The sequence below is a fragment of the Homo sapiens genome, chromosome 9 (assembly GCF_000001405.40).
Source record: "Homo sapiens chromosome 9, GRCh38.p14 Primary Assembly".
Classification (NCBI taxonomy): Eukaryota; Metazoa; Chordata; class Mammalia; order Primates; family Hominidae; genus Homo; species Homo sapiens.
The window spans coordinates 44,598,711-44,619,204 of record NC_000009.12 but is presented as its reverse complement, the minus strand read 5'-3'; the positions used below and the strand labels follow the sequence as shown (position 1 = coordinate 44,619,204).

Below are 20,494 nucleotides of genomic sequence, written 5' to 3'. Positions count from 1 at the left end.
CTGCAAATGTCCACTTCCAAATATTACAAAAAGAGTGTTTCAAACCTGCTGTATGAAGGGAAGTGTTCAACTCTATGAGTTGAATGCAAGCATCACAGAGAAGTTTCTGAGAATGCTTCTGTCTTGATTTTATATGAAGATATTCCCGTTTCCAACGAAACCTTCAAAGCTATCCAAATATCCACTTGCAGATTCTACAAAAAGAGTGTTTCCAAAATGTTGTATCAAAAGAAAGGTTCAACTCTGTTAGTTGAGGACACACATCGCAAATAAGTTTCTGAGAATGCTTCTGTCTAGTTTTTATTTGAAGATATTTCCTTTCTCACCACAGGCCTGAAAGCGCTTAAAACGTCCGCTTGCAGATACTACAGAAAGAGTGTTTCAAACCTGCTCTATGAAAGGGAATGTTCAGTTCTGTGACTTGAATGCAAACATCACAAAGAAGTTCCTGAGAATGCTTCTGTCTAGATTTTATATGAAGATATCCCGTTTCCAAAGAAATCCTCAAAGGTGTCCAAATATCTACTTCCAGATTCTACAAAAAGACTGTTTCAAAACGGCTCTGTCAAAAGTAAGGTTCAACTCTGTTACTTGAGTACACACATCACAAGGAAGTTTCTGAGAATGCTTCTGTCTGGTTTTTAGGAGAAGATATTTCCTTTTTCAACATAGGCCTCAAAGCGCTGCAAATGTCCACTTCCAAATATTAGAAAAAGAGTGTTTCAAACCTGCTGTATGAAGGGAAGTGTTCAACTCTATGAGTTGAATGCACACATCACAGAGAAGTTTCTGAGAATGCTTCTGTCTTGATTTCATATGAAGATATTCCCGTTTCCAACGAAACCTTCAAAGCTATCCAAATATCCACTTGCAGATTCTACAAAAAGAGTGTTTCCAAAATGTTGTATCAAAAGAAAGGTTCAACTCTGTTAGTTGAGGACACACATCGCAAATAAGTTTCTGAGAATGCTTCTGTCTAGTTTTTATTTGAAGATATTTCCTTTCTCACCACAGGCCTGAAAGCGCTTAAAACGTCCGCTTGCAGATACTACAGAAAGAGTGTTTCAAACCTGCTCTATGAAAGGGAATGTTCAGTTCTGTGACTTGAATGCAAACATCACAAAGAAGTTCCTGAGAATGCTTCTCTCTAGGTTTTATATGTAATCCCGTTTCCAACGAAATCCTCAAAGCTATCCAAATATCCACTTTCAGATTCCACAAAAAGAGTGTTTCAAAACTGCTCTGTAAAAAGAAAGGTTCATGCTCTGTTAGTTGAATACACACATCACAAACAAGTTTCTGAGAATGCTTCTGTCTAGTTTTTATGGGAAGATATTACCTTTTTCATCATAGGCCTCAAAGCGCTGCAAATGTCCACTTCCAAATATTACAAAAAGAGTGTTTCAAACCTGCTGTATGAAGGGAAGTGTTCAACTCTATGAGTTGAATGCAAACATCACAGAGAAGTTTCTGAGAATGCTTCTGTCTTGATTTCATATGAAGATATTCCCGTTTCCAACGAAACCTTCAAAGCTATCCAAATATCCACTTGCAGATTCTACAAAAAGAGTGTTTCCAAAATGTTGTATCAAAAGAAAGGTTCAACTCTGTTAGTTGAGGACACACATCGCAAATAAGTTTCTGAGAATGCTTCTGTCTAGTTTTTATTTGAAGATATTTCCTTTCTTACCATAGGCCTGAAAGCGCTTGAAATGTCCGTTTGCAGATACTACAGAAAGAGTGTTTCAAACATGCTCTATGAAAGGGAATGTTCAGATCTGTGACGTGAATGCAAACATCACAAAGAAGTTCCTGAGAATGCTTCTCTCTAGATTTTATATGTAATCCCGTTTCCAACGAAATCCTCAAAGCTATCCAAATATCCACTTTCAGATTCCACAAAAAGAGTGTTTCAAAACTGCTCTGTAAAAAGAAAGGTTCATCTCTGTTAGTTGAATACACACATCACAAACAAGTTTCTGAGAATGCTTCTGTCCAGTTTTTATGGGAAGATATTTCCTTTTTCATCATAGGCCTCAAAGCGCTCCAAATGTCCACTTCCAGATAGTGCAGAAAGAGTGTCTCAAACCTGGTATATAAAAGGGAACATTCTACTCTGTGACTTCAATGAAAACATCACAAAGCAGTTTCTGAGAATGCTTCCGTCTAGATTTTATATGAAGATATTCCCGTTTCCAACGAAACCTTCAAAGCTATCCGAATATCCACCTGCAGATTCTACAAAAAGAGTGTTTCCAAAATTCCGTATCAAAACAAAGGTTCAACTCTGTTAGTTGAGAACACACATGGCAAATAAGTTTCTGAGAATGCTTCTGTCTAAGTTTTACTTGAAGATATTTCCTTTCTCACCATAGGGCTGAAAGCGCTTGAAACGTCAGCTTGCAGATACTACAGAAAGAGTGTTTCAAACCTGCTCTATGAAAGGGAATGTTCAGTTCTGTGACTTGAATGCAAACATCACAAAGAAGTTCCTGAGAATGCTTCTCTCTAGGTTTTATATGTAATCCCGTTTCCAACGAAATCCTCAAAGCTATCCAAATATCCACTTTCAGATTCCACAAAAAGAGTGTTTCAAAACTGCTCTGTAAAAAGAAAGGTTCATCTCTGTTAGTTGAATACACACATCACAAACAAGTTTCTGAGAATGCTTCTGTCTAGTTTTTATGGGAAGATATTTCCTTTTTCAACATAGGCCTCAAAGCCCTCCAAACGTCCACTTCCAGGTAGTGCAGAAAGAGTGTCTCAAACCTGGTATATAACAGGGAACATTCTACTCTGTGACTTGAATGAAAACATCACAAAGCAGTTTCTGAGAATGCTTCCGTCTAGATTTTATATGAAGATATTCCCGTTTCCAAGGAAATCTTCCTAGCTATCTAAATATCAACTTGCAGATTCTACTAAAGGAATGTTTCCAAAATGCTGTATCCACACAAAGGTTCAACTCTGTTAATTGAGGACATACAGCACAAAGAAGTTTCTGAGAATGCTTCTGTCTAGTTTTTATTTGAAGAGATTTCCTTTTTCACCACAGGCCTGAAAGCGCTTGAAACGTCCGCTTGCAGATACCACAGAAAGAGTGTTTCAAACCTGCTCTATGAAAGGGAATGTTCAGTTCTGTGACTTGAATGCAAACATCACAAAGAAGTTCCTGAGAATGCTTCTCTCTAGATTTTATATGTAATCCCGTTTTCAACGAAATCCTCAAAGCTATCCAAATATCCACTTTCAGATTCCACAAAAAGAGTGTTTCAAAACTGCTCTGTAAAAAGAAAGGTTCATCTCTGTTAGTTGAATACACACATCACAAACAAGTTTCTGAGAATGCTTCTGTCTAGTTTTTATGGGAAGATATTTCCTTTTTCATCATAGGCCTCAAAGCGCTCCAAATGTCCACTTCCAGATAGCGCAGAAAGAGTGTCTCAAACGTGGTATATAAAAGGGAACATTCTACTCTGTGACTTCAATGGAAACATCACAAAGCAGTTTCTGAGAATGCTTCCGTCTAGATTTTATATGAAGATATTCCCGTTTCCAACGAAACCTTCAAAGCTATCCGAATATCCACCTGCAGATTCTACAAAAAGAGTGTTTCCAAAATGCCGTATCAAAACAAAGGTTCAACTCTGTTAGTTGAGAACACACATGGCAAATAAGTTTCTGAGAATGCTTCTGTCTAGTTTTTACTTGAAGATATTTCCTTTCTCTCCATAGGCCTGAAAGCGCTTGAAACGTCCGCTTGCAGATACTACAGAAAGAGTGTTTCAAACATGCTCTATGACAGGGAATGTTCAGTTCTGTGACTTGAATGCAAACATCACAAAGAAGTTCCTGAGAATGCTTCTCTCTAGATTTTATATGTAATCCCGTTTCCAACGAAATCCTCAAAGCTATCCAAATATCCACTTTCAGATTCCACAAAAAGAGTGTTTCAAAACTGCTCTGTAAAAAGAAAGGTTCATCTCTGTTAGTTGAATACACACATCACAAACAAGTTTCTGAGAATGCTTCTGTCTGGTTTTTAGGAGAAGATATTTCCTTTTTCAACATAGGCCTCAAAGCGCTGCAAATGTCCACTTCCAAATATTACAAAAAGAGTGTTTCAAACCTGCTCTATGAAGGGAAGTGTTCAACTCTATGAGTTGAATGCAAACATCACAGAGAAGTTTCTGAGAATGCTTCTGTCTTGATTTTATATGAAGATATTCCCGTTTCCAACGAAACCTTCAAAGCTATCCAAATATCCACTTGCAGATTCTACAAAAAGAGTGTTTCCAAAATGTTGTATCAAAACAAAGGTTCAACTCTGTTAGTTGAGGACACACATCGCAAATAAGTTTCTGAGAATGCTTCTGTCTAGTTTTTACTTGAAGATATTTCCTTTCTTACCATAGGCCTGAAAGCGCTTGAAATGTCCGTTTGCAGATACTACAGAAAGAGTGTTTCAAACATGCTCTATGAAAGGGAATGTTCAGTTCTGTGACGTGAATGCAAACATCACAAAGAAGTTCCTGAGAATGCTTCTCTCTAGATTTTATATGTAATCCCGTTTCCAACGAAATCCTCAAAGCTATCCAAATATCCACTTTCAGATTCCACAAAAAGAGTGTTTCAAAACTGCTCTGTAAAAAGAAAGGTTCATCTCTGTTAGTTGAATACACACATCACAAACAAGTTTCTGAGAATGCTTCTGTCTAGTTTTTATGGGAAGATATTTCCTTTTTCAACATAGGCCTCAAAGCGCTCCAAATGTCCACTTCCAGGTAGTGCAGAAAGAGTGTTTCAAACCTGCTCTATAAAAGGGAATATTCAACTCTGTGACTTGAATGCAAACATCACAAAGCACTTTCTGAGAATGCTTCCGTCTAGATTTTATATGAAGATATTCCCGTTTCCAACGAAACCTTCAAAGCTATCCGAATATCCACCTGCAGATTCTACAAAAAGAGTGTTTCCAAAATGCCGTATCCAAACAAAGGTTCAACTCTGTTAGTTGAGAACACACATGGCAAATAAGTTTCTGAGAATGCTTCTGTCTAGTTTTTACTTGAAGATATTTCCTTTCTCACCATAGGCCTGAAAGTGCTTGAAACGTCCGCTTGCAGATACTACAGAAAGAGTGTTTCAAACCTGCTCTATGAAAGGGAATGTTCAGTTCTGTGACTTGAATGCAAACATCACAAAGAAGTTCCTGAGAATGCTTCTCTCTAGGTTTTATATGTAATCCCGTTTCCAACGAAATCCTCAAAGCTATCCAAATATCCACTTTCAGATTCCACAAAAAGAGTGTTTCAAAACTGCTCTGTAAAAAGAAAGGTTCATCTCTGTTAGTTGAATACACACATCACAAACAAGTTTCTGAGAATGCTTCTGTCTAGTTTTTATGGGAAGATATTTCCTTTTTCAACATAGGCCTCAAAGCGCTCCAAACGTCCACTTCCAGGTAGTGCAGAAAGAGTGTCTCAAACCTGGTATATAACAGGCAACATTCTACTCTGTGACTTGAATGAAAACATCACAAAGCAGTTTCTGAGAATGCTTTCCGTCTAGATTTTATATGAAGATATTGCCGTTTCCAACGAAACCTTCAAAGCTATCCGAATATCCACCTGCAGATTCTACAAAAAGAGTGTTTCCAAAATGCCGTATCAAAACAAAGGTTCAACTCTGTTAGTTGAGAACACACATGGCAAATAAGTTTCTGAGAATGTTTCTGTCTAGTTTTTACTTGAAGATATTTCCTTTCTCACCATAGGCCTGAAAGCGCTTGAAACGTCAGCTTGCAGATACTACAGAAAGAGTGTTTCAAACATGCTCTATGAAAGGGAATGTTCAGTTCTGTGACTTGAATGCAAACATCACAAAGAAGTTCCTGAGAATGCTTCTCTCTAGATTTTATATGTAATCCCGTTTCCAACGAAATCCTCAAAGCTATCCAAATATCCACTTTCAGATTCCACAAAAAGAGTGTTTCAAAACTGCTCTGTAAAAAGAAAGGTTCATCTCTGTTAGTTGAATACACACATCACAAACAAGTTTCTGAGAATGCTTCTGTCTAGTTTTTATGGGAAGATATTTCCTTTATCATCATAGGCCTCAAAGCGCTCCAAATGTCCACTTCCAGATAGTGCATAAAGAGTGTCTCAAACCTGGTGTATAAAAGCGAAGATTCTACTCTGTGACTTGAATGAAAACATCACAAAGCAGTTTCTGAGAATGCTTCCGTCTAGATTTTATATGAAGATATTCCCGTTTCCAACGAAACCTTCAAAGCTATCCGAATATCCACCTGCAGATTCTACAAAAAGAGTGTTTCCAAAATGCCGTATCAAAACAAAGGTTCAACTCTGTTAGTTGAGAACACACATGGCAAATAAGTTTCTCAGAATGCTTGTCTAGTTTTTACTTGAAGATATTTCCTTTCTCACCATAGGCCTGAAAGCGCTTGAAACGTCCGCTTGCAGATACTACAGAAGGAGTGTTTCAAACATGCTCTATGAAAGGGAATGTTCAGTTCTGTGACTTGAATGCAAACATCACAAAGAAGTTCCTGAGAATGCTTCTCTCTAGATTTTATATGTAATCCCGTTTCCAAAGAAATCCTCAAAGCTATCCAAATATCCACTTTCAGATTCCACAAAAAGAGTGTTTCAAAACTGCTCTGTAAAAAGAAAGGTTCATCTCTGTTAGTTGAATACACACATCACAAACAAGTTTCTGAGAATGCTTCTGTCTAGTTTTTATGGGAAGATATTTCCTTTTTCAACATAGGCCTCAAAGCGCTCCAAATGTCCACTTCCAGGTAGTGCAGAAAGAGTGTTTCAAACCTGCTCTATAAAAGGGAATATTCAACTCTGTGACTTGAATGCAAACATCACAAAGCACTTTCTGAGAATGCTTCTGTCTTGATTTCATATGAAGATATTCCCGTTTCCAACGAAACCTTCAAAGTTATCCAAATATCCACTTGCAGATTCTACAAAAAGAGTGTTTCCAAAATGTTGTATCAAAAGAAAGGTTCAACTCTGTTAGTTGAGGACACACATCGCAAATAAGTTTCTGAGAATGCTTCTGTCTAGTTTTTATTTGAAGATATTTCCTTTCTCACCACAGGCCTGAAAGCGCTTAAAACGTCCGCTTGCAGATACTACAGAAAGAGTGTTTCAAACCTGCTCTATGAAAGGGAATGTTCAGTTCTGTGACTTGAATGCAAACATCACAAAGAAGTTCCTGAGAATGCTTCTCCCTAGATTTTATATGTAATCCCGTTTCCAACGAAATCCGCAAAGCAATCCAAATATCCACTTTCAGATTCCACAAAAAGAGTGTTTCAAAACTGCTCTGTAAAAAGAAAGGTTCATCTCTGTTAGTTGAATACACACATCACCAACAAGTTTCTGAGAATGCTTCTGTCTGGTTTTTAGGAGAAGATATTTCCTTTTTCAACATAGGCCTCAAAGCGCTGCAAATGTCCACTTCCAAATATTACAAAAAGAGTGTTTCAAACCTGCTGTATGAAGGGAAGTGTTCAACTCTATGAGTTGAATGCAAACATCACAGAGAAGTTTCTGAGAATGCTTCTGTCTTGATTTCATATGAAGATATTCCCGTTTCCAACGAAACTTTCAAAGCTATCCAAATATCCACTTGCAGATTCTACAAAAAGAGTGTTTCCAAAATGTTGTATCAAAAGAAAGGTTCAACTCTGTTAGTTGAGGACACACATCGCAAATAAGTTTCTGAGAATGCTTCTGTCTAGTTTTTATTTGAAGATATTTCCTTTCTCACCACAGGCCTGAAAGCGCTTAAAACGTCCGCTTGCAGATACTACAGAAAGAGTGTTTCAAACATGCTCTATGAAAGGGAATGTTCAGTTCTGTGACTTGAATGCAAACATCACAAAGAAGTTCCTGAGAATGCTTCTCTCTAGATTTTATATGTAATCCCGTTTCCAACGAAATCCTCAAAGATATCCAAATATCCACTTTCAGATTCCACAAAAAGAGTGTTTCAAAACTGTTCTGTAAAAAGAAAGGTTCATGTCTGTTAGTTGAATACACACATCACAAACAAATTTCTGAGAATGCTTCTGTCTAGTTTTTATGGGAAGATATTTCCTTTTTCAACATAGGCCTCAAAGCGCTCCAAATGTCCACTTCCAGGTAGTGCAGAAAGAGTGTTTCAAACCTGCTCTATAAAAGGGAATATTCAACTCTGTGACTTGAATGCAAACATCACAAAGCACTTTCTGAGAATGCTTCTGTCTTGATTTCATATGAAGATATTCCCGTTTCCAACGAAACCTTCAAAGCTATCCAAATATCCACTTGCAGATTCTACAAAAAGAGTGTTTCCAAAATGTTGTATCAAAAGAAAGGTTCAACTCTGTTAGTTGAGGACACACATCGCAAATAAGTTTCTGAGAATGCTTCTGTCTAGTTTTTATTTGAAGATATTTCCTTTCTCACAATAGGCCTGAAAGCGTTTGAAATGTCCGTTTGCAGATACTACAGAAAGAGTGTTTCACACATGCTCTATGAAAGGGAATGTTCAGTTCTGTGACTTGAATGCAAACATCACAAAGAAGTTCCTGAGAATTATTCTCTCTAGGTTTTATATGTAATCCCGTTTCCAACGAAATCCTCAAAGCTATCCAAATAACCACTTTCAGATTCCACAAAAAAAGTGTTTCAAAACTGCTCTGTAAAAAGAAAGATTCATCTCTGTTAGTTGAATACACACATCACAAACAAGTTTCTGAGAATGCTTCTTTCTAGTTTTTATGGGAAGATATTTCCTTTTTCAACATAGGCCTCAAAGCGCTCCAAATGTCCACTTCCAGGTAGTGCAGAAAGAGTGTTTCAAACCTGCTCTATAAAAGGGAATATTCAACTCTGTGACTTGAATGCAAACATCACAAAGCACTTTCTGAGAATGCTTCCGTCTAGATTTTATATGAAGATATTCCCGTTTCCAACGAAACCTTCAAAGCTATCCGAATATCCACCTGCAGATTCTACAAAAAGAGTGTTTCCAAAATGCCATATCAAAACAAAGGTTCAACTCTGTTAGTTGAGAACACACATCGCAAATAAGTTTCTGAGAATGCTTCTGTCTAGTTTTTACTTGAAGATATTTCCTTTCTCACCATAGGCCTGAAAGCGCTTGAAACGTCAGCTTGCAGATACTACAGAAAGAGTGTTTCAAACCTGCTCTATGAAAGGGAATGTTCAGTTCTGTGACTTGAATGAAAACATCACAAAGAAGTTCCTGAGAATGCTTCTGTCTAGATTTTATATGAAGATATCCCGTTTCCAAAGAAATCCTCAAAGGTATCCAAATATCTACTTCCAGATTCTACAAAAAGACTGTTTCAAAACGGCTCTGTCAAAAGTAAGGTTCAACTCTGTTACTTGAGTACACACATCACAAGAAAGTTTCTGAGAATGCTTCTGTCTGGTTTTTAGGAGAAGATATTTCCTTTTTCAACATAGGCCTCAAAGCGCTGCAAATGTCCACTTCCAAATATTACAAAAAGAGTGTTTCAAACCTGCTGTATGAAGGGAAGTGTTCAACTCTATGAGTTGAATGCAAACATCACAGAGAAGTTTCTGAGAATGCTTCTGTCTTGATTTTATATGAAGATATTCCCGTTTCCAACGAAACCTTCAAAGCTATCCAAATATCCACTTGCAGATTCTACAAAAAGAGTGTTTCCAAAATGTTGTATCAAAACAAAGGTTCAACTCTGTTAGTTGAGGACACACATCGCAAATAAGTTTCTGAGAATGCTTCTGTCTAGTTTTTATTTGAAGATATTTCCTTTTTCACCACAGGCCTGAAAGCGCTTCAAACGTCCGCTTGCAGATACTACAGAAAGAGTGTTTCAAACCTGCTCTATGAAAGGGAATGTTCAGTTCTGTGACTTGAATGCAAACATCACAAAGAAGTTCCTGAGAATGCTTCTCCCTAGATTTTATATGTAATCCCGTTTCCAACGAAATCCTCAAAGCAATCCAAATATCCACTTTCGGATTCCACAAAAAGAGTGTTTCAAAACTACTCTGTAAAAAGAAAGGTTCATCTCTGTTAGTTGAATACACACATCACAAACAAGTTTCTGAGAATGCTTCTGTCTAGTTTTTATGGGAAGATATTTCCTTTTTCAACATAGGCCTCAAAGCGCTCCAAAGGTCCACTTCCAGGTAGTGCACAGAGTGTTTCAAACCTGCTCTATGAAAGGAAGTGTTCAACTCTATGAGTTGAATGCAAACATCACAGAGAAGTTTCTGAGAATGCTTCTGTCTTGATTTTATATGAGGATATTCCCGTTTCCAACGAAACCTTCAAAGCTATCCAAATATCCACCTGCAGATCCTACAAAAAGTGTGTTTCCAAAATGCTGTATCAAAACAAAGGTTCAACTCTGTTAGTTGAGAACACACATCGCAAATTAGTTTCTGAGAATGCTTCTGTCTAGTTTTTATTTGAACATATTTCCTTTCTCACCATAGGCCTGAAAGCGTTTGAAATGTCCGTTTGCAGATACTACAGAAAGAGTGTTTCAAACATGCTCTATGAAAGGGAATGTTCAGTTCTGTGACGTGAATGCAAACATCACAAAGAAGTTCCTGAGAATGCTTCTCTCTAGATTTTATATGTAATCCCGTTTCCAACGAAATCCTCAAAGCTATCCAAATATCCACTTTCAGATTCCACAAAAAGAGTGTTTCAAAACTGCTCTGTAAAAAGAAAGGTTCATCTCTGTTAGTTGAATACACACATCACAAACAAGTTTCTGAGAATGCTTCTGTCTAGTTTTTATGGGAAGATATTTCCTTTTTCATCATAGGCCTCAAAGCGCTGCAAATGTCCACTTCCAGGTAGTGCAGAAAGAGTGTCTGAAACCTGGTATATAACAGGGAAGATTCTACTCTGTGACTTGAATGAAAACATCACAAAGCAGTTTCTGAGAATGCTTCTGTCTTGATTTTATATGAAGATATTCCCGTTTCCAAAGAAACCTTCAAAGCTATCCAAATATCCACTTGCAGATTCTACAAAAAGAGTGTTTCCAAAATGTTGTATCAAAAGAAAGGTTCAACTCTGTTAGTTGAGGAAACACATCGCAAACAAGTTTCTGAGAATGCTTCTGTCTAGTTTTTATTTGAAGATATTTCCTTTCTCACCATAGGCCTGAAAGCGTTTGAAATGTCCGTTTGCAGATACTACAGAAAGAGTGTTTCAAACATGCTCTATGAAAGGGAATGTTCAGTTCTGTGACTTGAATGCAAACATCACAAAGAAGTTCCTGAGAATGCTTCTCTCTAGGTTTTATATGTAATCCCGTTTCCAACGAAATCCTCAAAGCTATCCAAATATCCACTTTCAGATTCCACAAAAAGAGTGTTTCAAAACTGCACTGTAATAAGAAAGGTTCATCCCTGTTAGTTGAATACACACATCACAAACAAGTTTCTGAGAATGCTTCTGTCTAGTTTTTATGGGAAGATATTTCCTTTTTCAACATAGGCCTCAAAGCGCTCCAAACGTCCACTTCCAGGTAGTGCAGAAAGAGTGTCTCAAACCTGGTATATAACAGGGAACATTCTACTCTGTGACTTGAATGAAAACATCACAAAGCAGTTTCTGAGAATGCTTCCGTCTAGATTTTATATGAAGATATTCCCGTTTCCAACGAAACCTTCAAAGCTATCCGAATATCCACCTGCAGATTCTACAAAAAGAGTGTTTCCAAAATGCCATATCAAAACAAAGGTTCAACTCTGTTAGTTGAGAACACACATCGCAAATAAGTTTCTGAGAATGCTTCTGTCTAGTTTTTACTTGAAGATATTTCCTTTCTCACCATAGGCCTGAAAGCGCTTGAAACGTCAGCTTGCAGATACTACAGAAAGAGTGTTTCAAACCTGCTCTATGAAAGGGAATGTTCAGTTCTGTGACTTGAATGCAAACATCACAAAGAAGTTCCTGAGAATGCTTCTCTCTAGGTTTTATATGTAATCCCGTTTCCAACGAAATCCTCAAAGCTATCCAAATATCCACTTTCAGATTCCACAAAAAGAGTGTTTCAAAACTGCTCTGTAAAAAGAAAGGTTCATCTCTGTTAGTTGAATACACACATCACAAACAAGTTTCTGAGAATGCTTCTGTCTAGTTTTTATGGGAAGATATTACCTTTTTCATCATAGGCCTCAAAGCGCTGCAAATGTCCACTTCCAAATATTACAAAAAGAGTGTTTCAAACCTGCTGTATGAAGGGAAGTGTTCAACTCTATGAGTTGAATGCAAACATCACAGAGAAGTTTCTGAGAATGCTTCTGTCTTGATTTCATATGAAGATATTCCCGTTTCCAACGAAACCTTCAAAGCTATCCAAATATCCACTTGCAGATTCTACAAAAAGAGTGTTTCCAAAATGTTGTATCAAAAGAAAGGTTCAACTCTGTTAGTTGAGGACACACATCGCAAATAAGTTTCTGAGAATGCTTCTGTCTAGTTTTTATTTGAAGATATTTCCTTTCTCACCACAGGCCTGAAAGCGCTTAAAACGTCCGCTTGCAGATACTACAGAAAGAGTGTTTCAAACATGCTCTATGAAAGGGAATGTTCAGTTCTGTGACGTGAATGCAAACATCACAAAGAAGTTCCTGAGAATGCTTCTCTCTAGATTTTATATGTAATCCCGTTTCCAACGAAATCCTCAAAGCTATCCAAATATCCACTTTCAGATTCCACAAAAAGAGTGTTTCAAAACTGCTCTGTAAAAAGAAAGGTTCATCTCTGTTAGTTGAATACACACATCACAAACAAGTTTCTGAGAATGCTTCTGTCTAGTTTTTATGGGAAGATATTTCCTTTTTCAACATAGGCCTCAAAGCGCTCCAAATGTCCACTTCCAGGTAGTGCAGAAAGAGTGTTTCAAACCTGCTCTATAAAAGGGAATATTCACCTCTGTGACTTGAATGCAAACATCACAAAGCACTTTCTGAGAATCCTTCCGTCTAGATTTTATATGAAGATATTCCCGTTTCCAACGAAACCTTCAAAGCTATCCGAATATCCACCTGCAGATTCTACAAAAAGAGTGTTTACAAAATGCCGTATCAAAACAAAGGTTCAACTCTGTTAGTTGAGAACACACATGGCAAATAAGTTTCTGAGAATGCTTCTGTCTAGTTTTTACTTGAAGATATTTCCTTTCTCACCATAGGCCTGAAGCGCTTGAAACGTCAGCTTGCAGATACTACAGAAAGAGTGTTTCAAACCTGCTCTATGAAAGGGAATGTTCAGTTCTGTGACTTGAATGCAAACATCACAAAGAAGTTCCTGAGAATGCTTCTCTCTAGGTTTTATATGTAATCCCGTTTCCAACGAAATCCTCAAAGCTATCCAAATATCCACTTTCAGATTCCACAAAAAGAGTGTTTCAAAACTGCTCTGTAAAAAGAAAGGTTCATCTCTGTTAGTTGAATACACACATCACAAACAAGTTTCTGAGAATGCTTCTGTCTAGTTTTTATGGGAAGATATTTCCTTTTTCAACATAGGCCTCAAAGCGTTCCAAATGTCCACTTCCAGGTAGTGCAGAAAGAGTGTTTCAGACCTGCTCTATAAAAGGGAATATTCAACTCTGTGACTTGAATGCAAACATCACAAAGCACTTTCTGAGAATGCTTCTGTCTTGATTTTATATGAAGATATTCCCGTTTCCAAAGAAACCTTCAAAGCTATCCAAATATCCACTTGCAGATTCTACAAAAAGAGTGTTTCCAAAATGTTGTATCAAAAGAAAGGTTCAACTCTGTTAGTTGAGGAAACACATCGCAAACAAGTTTCTGAGAATGCTTCTGTCTAGTTTTTATTTGAAGATATTTCCTTTCTCACCATAGGCCTGAAAGCGTTTGAAATGTCCGTTTGCAGATACTACAGAAAGAGTGTTTCAAACATGCTCTATGAAAGGGAATGTTCAGTTCTGTGACTTGAATGCAAACATCACAAAGAAGTTCCTGAGAATGCTTCTCTCTAGATTTTATATGTAATCCCGTTTCCAACGAAATCCTCAAAGCTATCCAAATATCCACTTTCAGATTCCACAAAAAGAGTGTTTCAAAACTGCTCTGTAATAAGAAAGGTTCATCCCTGTTAGTTGAATACACACATCACAAACAAGTTTCTGAGAATGCTTCTGTCTAGTTTTTATGGGAAGATATTTCCTTTTTCAACATAGGCCTCAAAGCGCTCCAAACGTCCACTTCCAGGTAGTGCAGAAAGAGTGTCTCAAACCTGGTATATAACAGGGAACATTCTACTCTGTGACTTGAATGAAAACATCACAAAGCAGTTTCTGAGAATGCTTCCGTCCAGATTTTATATGAAGATATTCCCGTTTCCAACGAAACCTTCAAAGCTATCCGAATATCCACCTGCAGATTCTACAAAAAGAGTGTTTCCAAAATGCCGCATCAGAACAAAGGTTCAACTCTGTTAGTTGAGAACACACATGGCAAATAAGTTTCTGAGAATGCTTCTGTCTAGTTTTTACTTGAAGATATTTCCTTTCTCACCATAGGCCTGAAAGCGCTTGAAACGTCAGCTTGCAGATACTACAGAAAGAGTGTTTCAAACCTGCTCCATGAAAGGGAATGTTCAGTCCTGTGACTTGAAGGCCAACATCACAAAGAAGTTCCTGAGAATGCTTCTCTCTAGGTTTTATATGTAATCCCGTTTCCAACGAAATCCTCAAAGCTATCCAAATATCCACTTTCAGATTCCACAAAAAGAGTGTTTCAAAACTGCTCTGTAAAAAGAAAGGTTCATCTCTGTTAGTTGAATACACACATCACAAACAAGTTTCTGAGAATGCTTCTGTCTAGTTTTTATGGGAAGATATTTCCTTTTTCAACATAGGCCTCAAAGCGCTCCAAACGTCCACTTCCAGGTAGTGCAGAAAGAGTGTCTCAAACCTGGTATATAACAGGGAACATTCTACACTGTGACTTGAATGAAAACATCACAAAGCAGTTTCTGAGAATGCTTCCGTCTAGATTTTATATGAAGATATTCCCGTTTCCAACGAAACCTTCAAAGCTATCCGAATATCCACCTGCAGATTCTACAAAAAGAGTGTTTCCAAAATGCCGTATCAAAACAAAGGTTCAACTCTGTTAGTTGAGAACACACATGGCAAATAAGTTTCTGACAATGCTTCTGTCTAGTTTTTACTTGAAGATATTTCCTTTCTCACCATAGGCCTGAAAGCGCTTGAAACGTCAGCTTGCAGATACTACAGAAAGAGTGTTTCAAACCTGCTCTATGAAAGGGAATGTTCAGTCCTGTGACTTGAAGGCAAACATCACAAAGAAGTTCCTGAGAATGCTTCTCCCTAGATTTTATATGTAATCCCGTTTCCAACGAAATCCGCAAAGCTATCCAAATATCCACATTCAGATTCCACAAAAAGAGTGTTTCAAAACTGCTCTGTAAAAAGAAAGGTTCATCTCTGTTAGTTGAATACACACATCACAAACAAGTTTCTGAGAATGCTTCTGTCTAGTTTTTATGGGAAGATATTTCCTTTTTCATCATAGGCCTCAAAGCGCTGCAAATGTCCACTTCCAAATATTACAAAAAGAGTGTTTCAAACCTGCTGTATGAAGGGAAGTGTTCAACTCTATGAGTTGAATGCAAACATCACAGAGAAGTTTCTGAGAATGCTTCTGTCTTGATTTTATATGAAGATATTCCCGTTTCCAACGAAACCTTCAAAGCTATTCAAATATCCACTTGCAGATTCTACAAAAAGAGTGGTTCCAAAATGTTGTATCAAAAGAAAGGTTCAACTCTGATAGTTGAGGACACACATCGCAAATAAGTTTCTGAGAATGCTTCTGTCTGGTTTTTATTTGAAGATATTTCCTTTCTCACCATAGGCCTGAAAGCGCTTGGAATGTCCGTTTGCAGATACTACAGAAAGAGTGTTTCAAACCTGCTCTATGAAAGGGAATGTTCAGTTCTGTGACGAGAATGCAAACATCACAAAAAAATTCCTGAGAGTGCTAATCTCTAGATTTTATATGTAATCCCGTTTCCAACGAAATCCTCAAAGCTATCCAAATATCCACTTTCAGATTCCACAAAAAGAGTGTTTCCAACCTGCTCTGTAAAAAGAATGGTTCATCTCTGTTAGTTGAATATACACATCACAAATAAGTTTCTGAGAATGCTTCTGTCTAGTTTTTATGGGAAGATATTTCCTTTTTCAACATAGGCCTCAAAGCGCTCCAAACGTCCACTTCCAGGTAGTGCAGAAAGAGTGTCTCAAACCTGGTATATAACAGGGAACATTCTACACTGTGACTTGAATGAAAACATCACAAAGCAGTTTCTGAGAATGCTTCCGTCTAGATTTTATATGAAGATATTCCCGTTTCCAACGAAACCTTCAAAGCTATCCGAATATCCACCTGCAGATTCTACAAAAAGAGTGTTTCCAAAATGCCGTATCAAAACAAAGGTTCAACTCTGTTAGTTGAGAACACACATGGCAAATAAGTTTCTGACAATGCTTCTGTCTAGTTTTTACTTGAAGATATTTCCTTTCTCACCATAGGCCTGAAAGCGCATGAAACGTCAGCTTGCAGATACTACAGAAAGAGTGTTTCAAACCTGCTCTATGAATGGGAATGTTCAGTCCTGTGACTTGAAGGCAAACATCACAAAGAAGTTCCTGAGAATGCTTCTCTCTAGGTTTTATATGTAATCCCGTTTCCAACGAAATCCTCAAAGCTATCCAAATATCCACTTTCAGATTCCACAAAAAGAGTGTTTCAAAACTGCTCTGTAAAAAGAAAGGTTCATCTCTGTTAGTTGAATACACACATCACAAACAAGTTTCTGAGAATGCTTCTGTCTAGTTTTTATGGGAAGATATTTCCTTTTTCATCATAGGCCTCAAAGCGCTCCAAATGTCCACTTCCAGATAGTGCAGAAAGAGTGTCTCAAACCTGGTATATAAAAGGGAACATTCTACTCTGTGACTTCAATGAAAACATCACAAAGCAGTTTCTGAGAATGCTTCCGTCTAGATTTTATATGAAGATATTCCCGTTTCCAACGAAACCTTCAAAGCTATCCGAATATCCACCTGCAGATCCTACAAAAAGAGTGTTTCCAAAATGCCGTATCCAAACAAAGGTTCAACTCTGTTAGTTGAGAACACACATGGCAAATAAGTTTCTGAGAATGCTTCTGTCTAGTTTTTACTTGAAGATATTTCCTTTCTCACCATAGGCCTGAAAGCGCTTGAAACGTCCGCTTGCAGATACTACAGAAAGAGTGTTTCAAACATGCTCTATGAAAGGGAATGTTCAGTTCTTTGACTTGAATGCAAACATCACAAAGAAGTTCCTGAGAATGCTTCTCCCTAGATTTTATATGTAATCCCGTTTCCAACGAAATCCGCAAAGCTATCCAAATATCCACTTTCAGATTCCACAAAAAGAGTGTTTCAAAACTGCTCTGTAAAAAGAAAGGTTCATCTCTGTTAGTTGAATACACACATCACAAACAAGTTTCTGAGAATGCTTCTGTCTGGTATTTAGGAGAAGATATTTCCTTTTTCAACATAGGCCTCAAAGCGCTGCAAATGTCCACTTCCAAATATTAGAAAAAGAGTGTTTCAAACCTGCTGTATGAAGGGAAGTGTTCAACTCTATGAGTTGAATGCAAACATCACAGAGAAGTTTCTGAGAATGCTTCTGTCTTGATTTTATATGAAGATATTCCCGTTTCCAACGAAACCTTCAAAGCTATTCAAATATCCACTTGCAGATTCTACAAAAAGAGTGTTTCCAAAATGTTGTATCAAAAGAAAGGTTCAACTCTGTTAGTTGAGGACACACATCGCAAATAAGTTTCTGGAGAATGCTTCTGACTAGTTTTTATTTGAAGATATTTCCTTTCTCACCATAGGCCTGAAAGCGTTTGAAATGTCCGTTTGCAGATACTACAGAAAGAGAGTTTCAAACATGCTCTATGAAAGGGAATGTTCAGTTCTGTGACGTGAATGCAAACATCACAAAGAAGTTCCTGAGAATGCTTCTCTCTAGGTTTTATATGTAATCCCGTTTCCAACGAAATCCTCAAAGCTATCCAAATATCCACTTTCAGATTCCACAAAAAGAGTGTTTCAAAACTGCTCTGTAAAAAGAAAGGTTCATCTCTGTTAGTTGAATACACACATCACAAACAAGTTTCTGAGAATGCTTCTGTCTAGTTTTTATGGGAAGATATTTCCTTTTTCATCATAGGCCTCAAAGCGCTGCAAATGTCCACTTCCAGGTAGTGCAGAAAGAGTGTCTCAAACCTGGTATATAACAGGGAACATTCTACTCTGTGACTTGAATGAAAACATCACAAAGCAGTTTCTGAGAATGCTTCCGTCTAGATTTTATATGAAGATATTCCCGTTTCCAACGAAACCTTCAAAGCTATCCGAATATCCACCTGCAGATTCTACAAAAAGAGTGTTTCCAAAATGCCATATCAAAACAAAGGTTCAACTCTGTTAGTTGAGAACACACATCGCAAATAAGTTTCTGAGAATGCTTCTGTCTGGTTTTTAGGGGAAGATATCTCCTTTTTCACCATAGGCTTCAAAGCGCTGCCAATGTCCACTTCCAAATATTACAAAAAGAGTATTTCAAACCAGCTCTATGAAAGGAAGTGTTCAACTCTATGAGTTGAATGCAAACATCACAGAGAAGTTTCTGAGAATGCTTCTGTGTTGATTTTATATAAAGATATTCCCGTTTCCAACGAAACCTTCAAATCTATCCAAATATCCACCTGCAGATCCTACAAAAAGAGTGTTTCCTAAATGCTGTATAAAAACAAAGGTTCAACTCTGTCAGTTGAGAACACACATCGCAAATAAGTTTCTGAGAATGCTTCTGTTTAGTTTTTATTTGAAGATATTTCCTTTCTCACCATAGGCCTGAAAGCGTTTGAAATGTCCGTTTGCAGATACTACAGAAAGAGTGTTTCAAACATGCTCTATGAAAGGGAATGTTCAGCTCTGTGACGTGAATGCAAACATCACAAAGAAGTTCCTGAGAATGCTTCTCTCTAGATTTTATATGTAATCCCGTTTCCAACGAAATCCTCAAAGCTATCCAAATATCCACTTTCAGATTCCACAAAAAGAGTGTTTCAAAACTGCTCTGTAAAAAGAAAGGTTCATCTCTGTTAGTTGAATACACACATCACAAACAAGTTTCTGAGAATGCTTCTGTCTAGTTTTTATGGGAAGATATTACCTTTTTCATCATAGGCCTCAAAGCGCTGCAAATGTCCACTTCCAAATATTACAAAAAGAGTGTTTCAAACCTGCTGTATGAAGGGAAGTGTTCAACTCTATGAGTTGAATGCAAACATCACAGAGAAGTTTCTGAGAATGCTTCCGTCTAGATTTTATATGAAGATATTCCCGTTTCCAACGAAACCTTCAAAGCTATCCGAATATCCACCTGCAGATTCTACAAAAAGAGTGTTTCCAAAATGCCATATCAAAACAAAGGTTCAACTCTGTTAGTTGAGAACACACATGGCAAATAAGTTTCTGAGAATGCTTCTGTCTAGTTTTTACTTGAAGATATTTCCTTTGTCACCATAGGCCTGAAAGCGCTTGAAACGTCAGCTTGCAGATACTACAGAAAGAGTGTTTCAAACCTGCTCTATGAAAGGGAATGTTCAGTCCTGTGACTTGAAGGCAAACATCACAAAGAAGTTCCTGAGAATGCTTCTGTCTAGATTTTATATGAAGATATCCCGTGTCCAACGAAATCCTCAAAGGTATCAAAATATCCACTTGCAGATTCTACAAAAAGAGTGCTTCAAAACTGCTCTGTCAAAAGGAAGGTTCAACTCTGTTACTTGAGTACACACATCACAAGGAAGTTTCTGAGAATGCTTCTGTCTGGTTTTTAGGAGAAGATATTTCCTTTTTCAACATAGGCCTCAAAGCGCTGCAAATGTCCACTTCCAAATATTAGAAAAAGAGTGTTTCAAACCTGCTGTATGAAGGGAAGTGTTCAACTCTATGAGTTGAATGCAAACATCACAGAGAAGTTTCTGAGAATGCTTCTGTCTTGATTTCATATGAAGATATTCCCGTTTCCAACGAAACCTTCAAAGCTATCCAAATATCCACTTGCAGATTCTACAAAAAGAGTGTTTCCAAAATGTTGTATCAAAAGAAAGGTTCAACTCTGTTAGTTGAGGACACACATCGCAAATACGTTTCTGAGAATGCTTCTGTCTAGTTTTTATTTGAAGATATTTCCTTTCTCACCACAGGCCTGAAAGCGCTTAAAACGTCCGCTTGCAGATACTACAGAAAGAGTGTTTCAAACATGCTCTATGAAAGGGAATGTTCAGTTCTGTGACTTGA

At 37.5% G+C, this 20,494-nt stretch overlaps 1 annotated feature.

The window, feature by feature from the left end:
• Window positions 1-20,494: part of a centromere (Linear centromere model derived predominantly from reads generated in PMID: 17803354. This region does not represent an actual centromere sequence, as long-range ordering of repeats and unmapped WGS contigs is not provided by the model. For details of model production, see http://arxiv.org/abs/1307.0035.) that runs on past both edges of the window.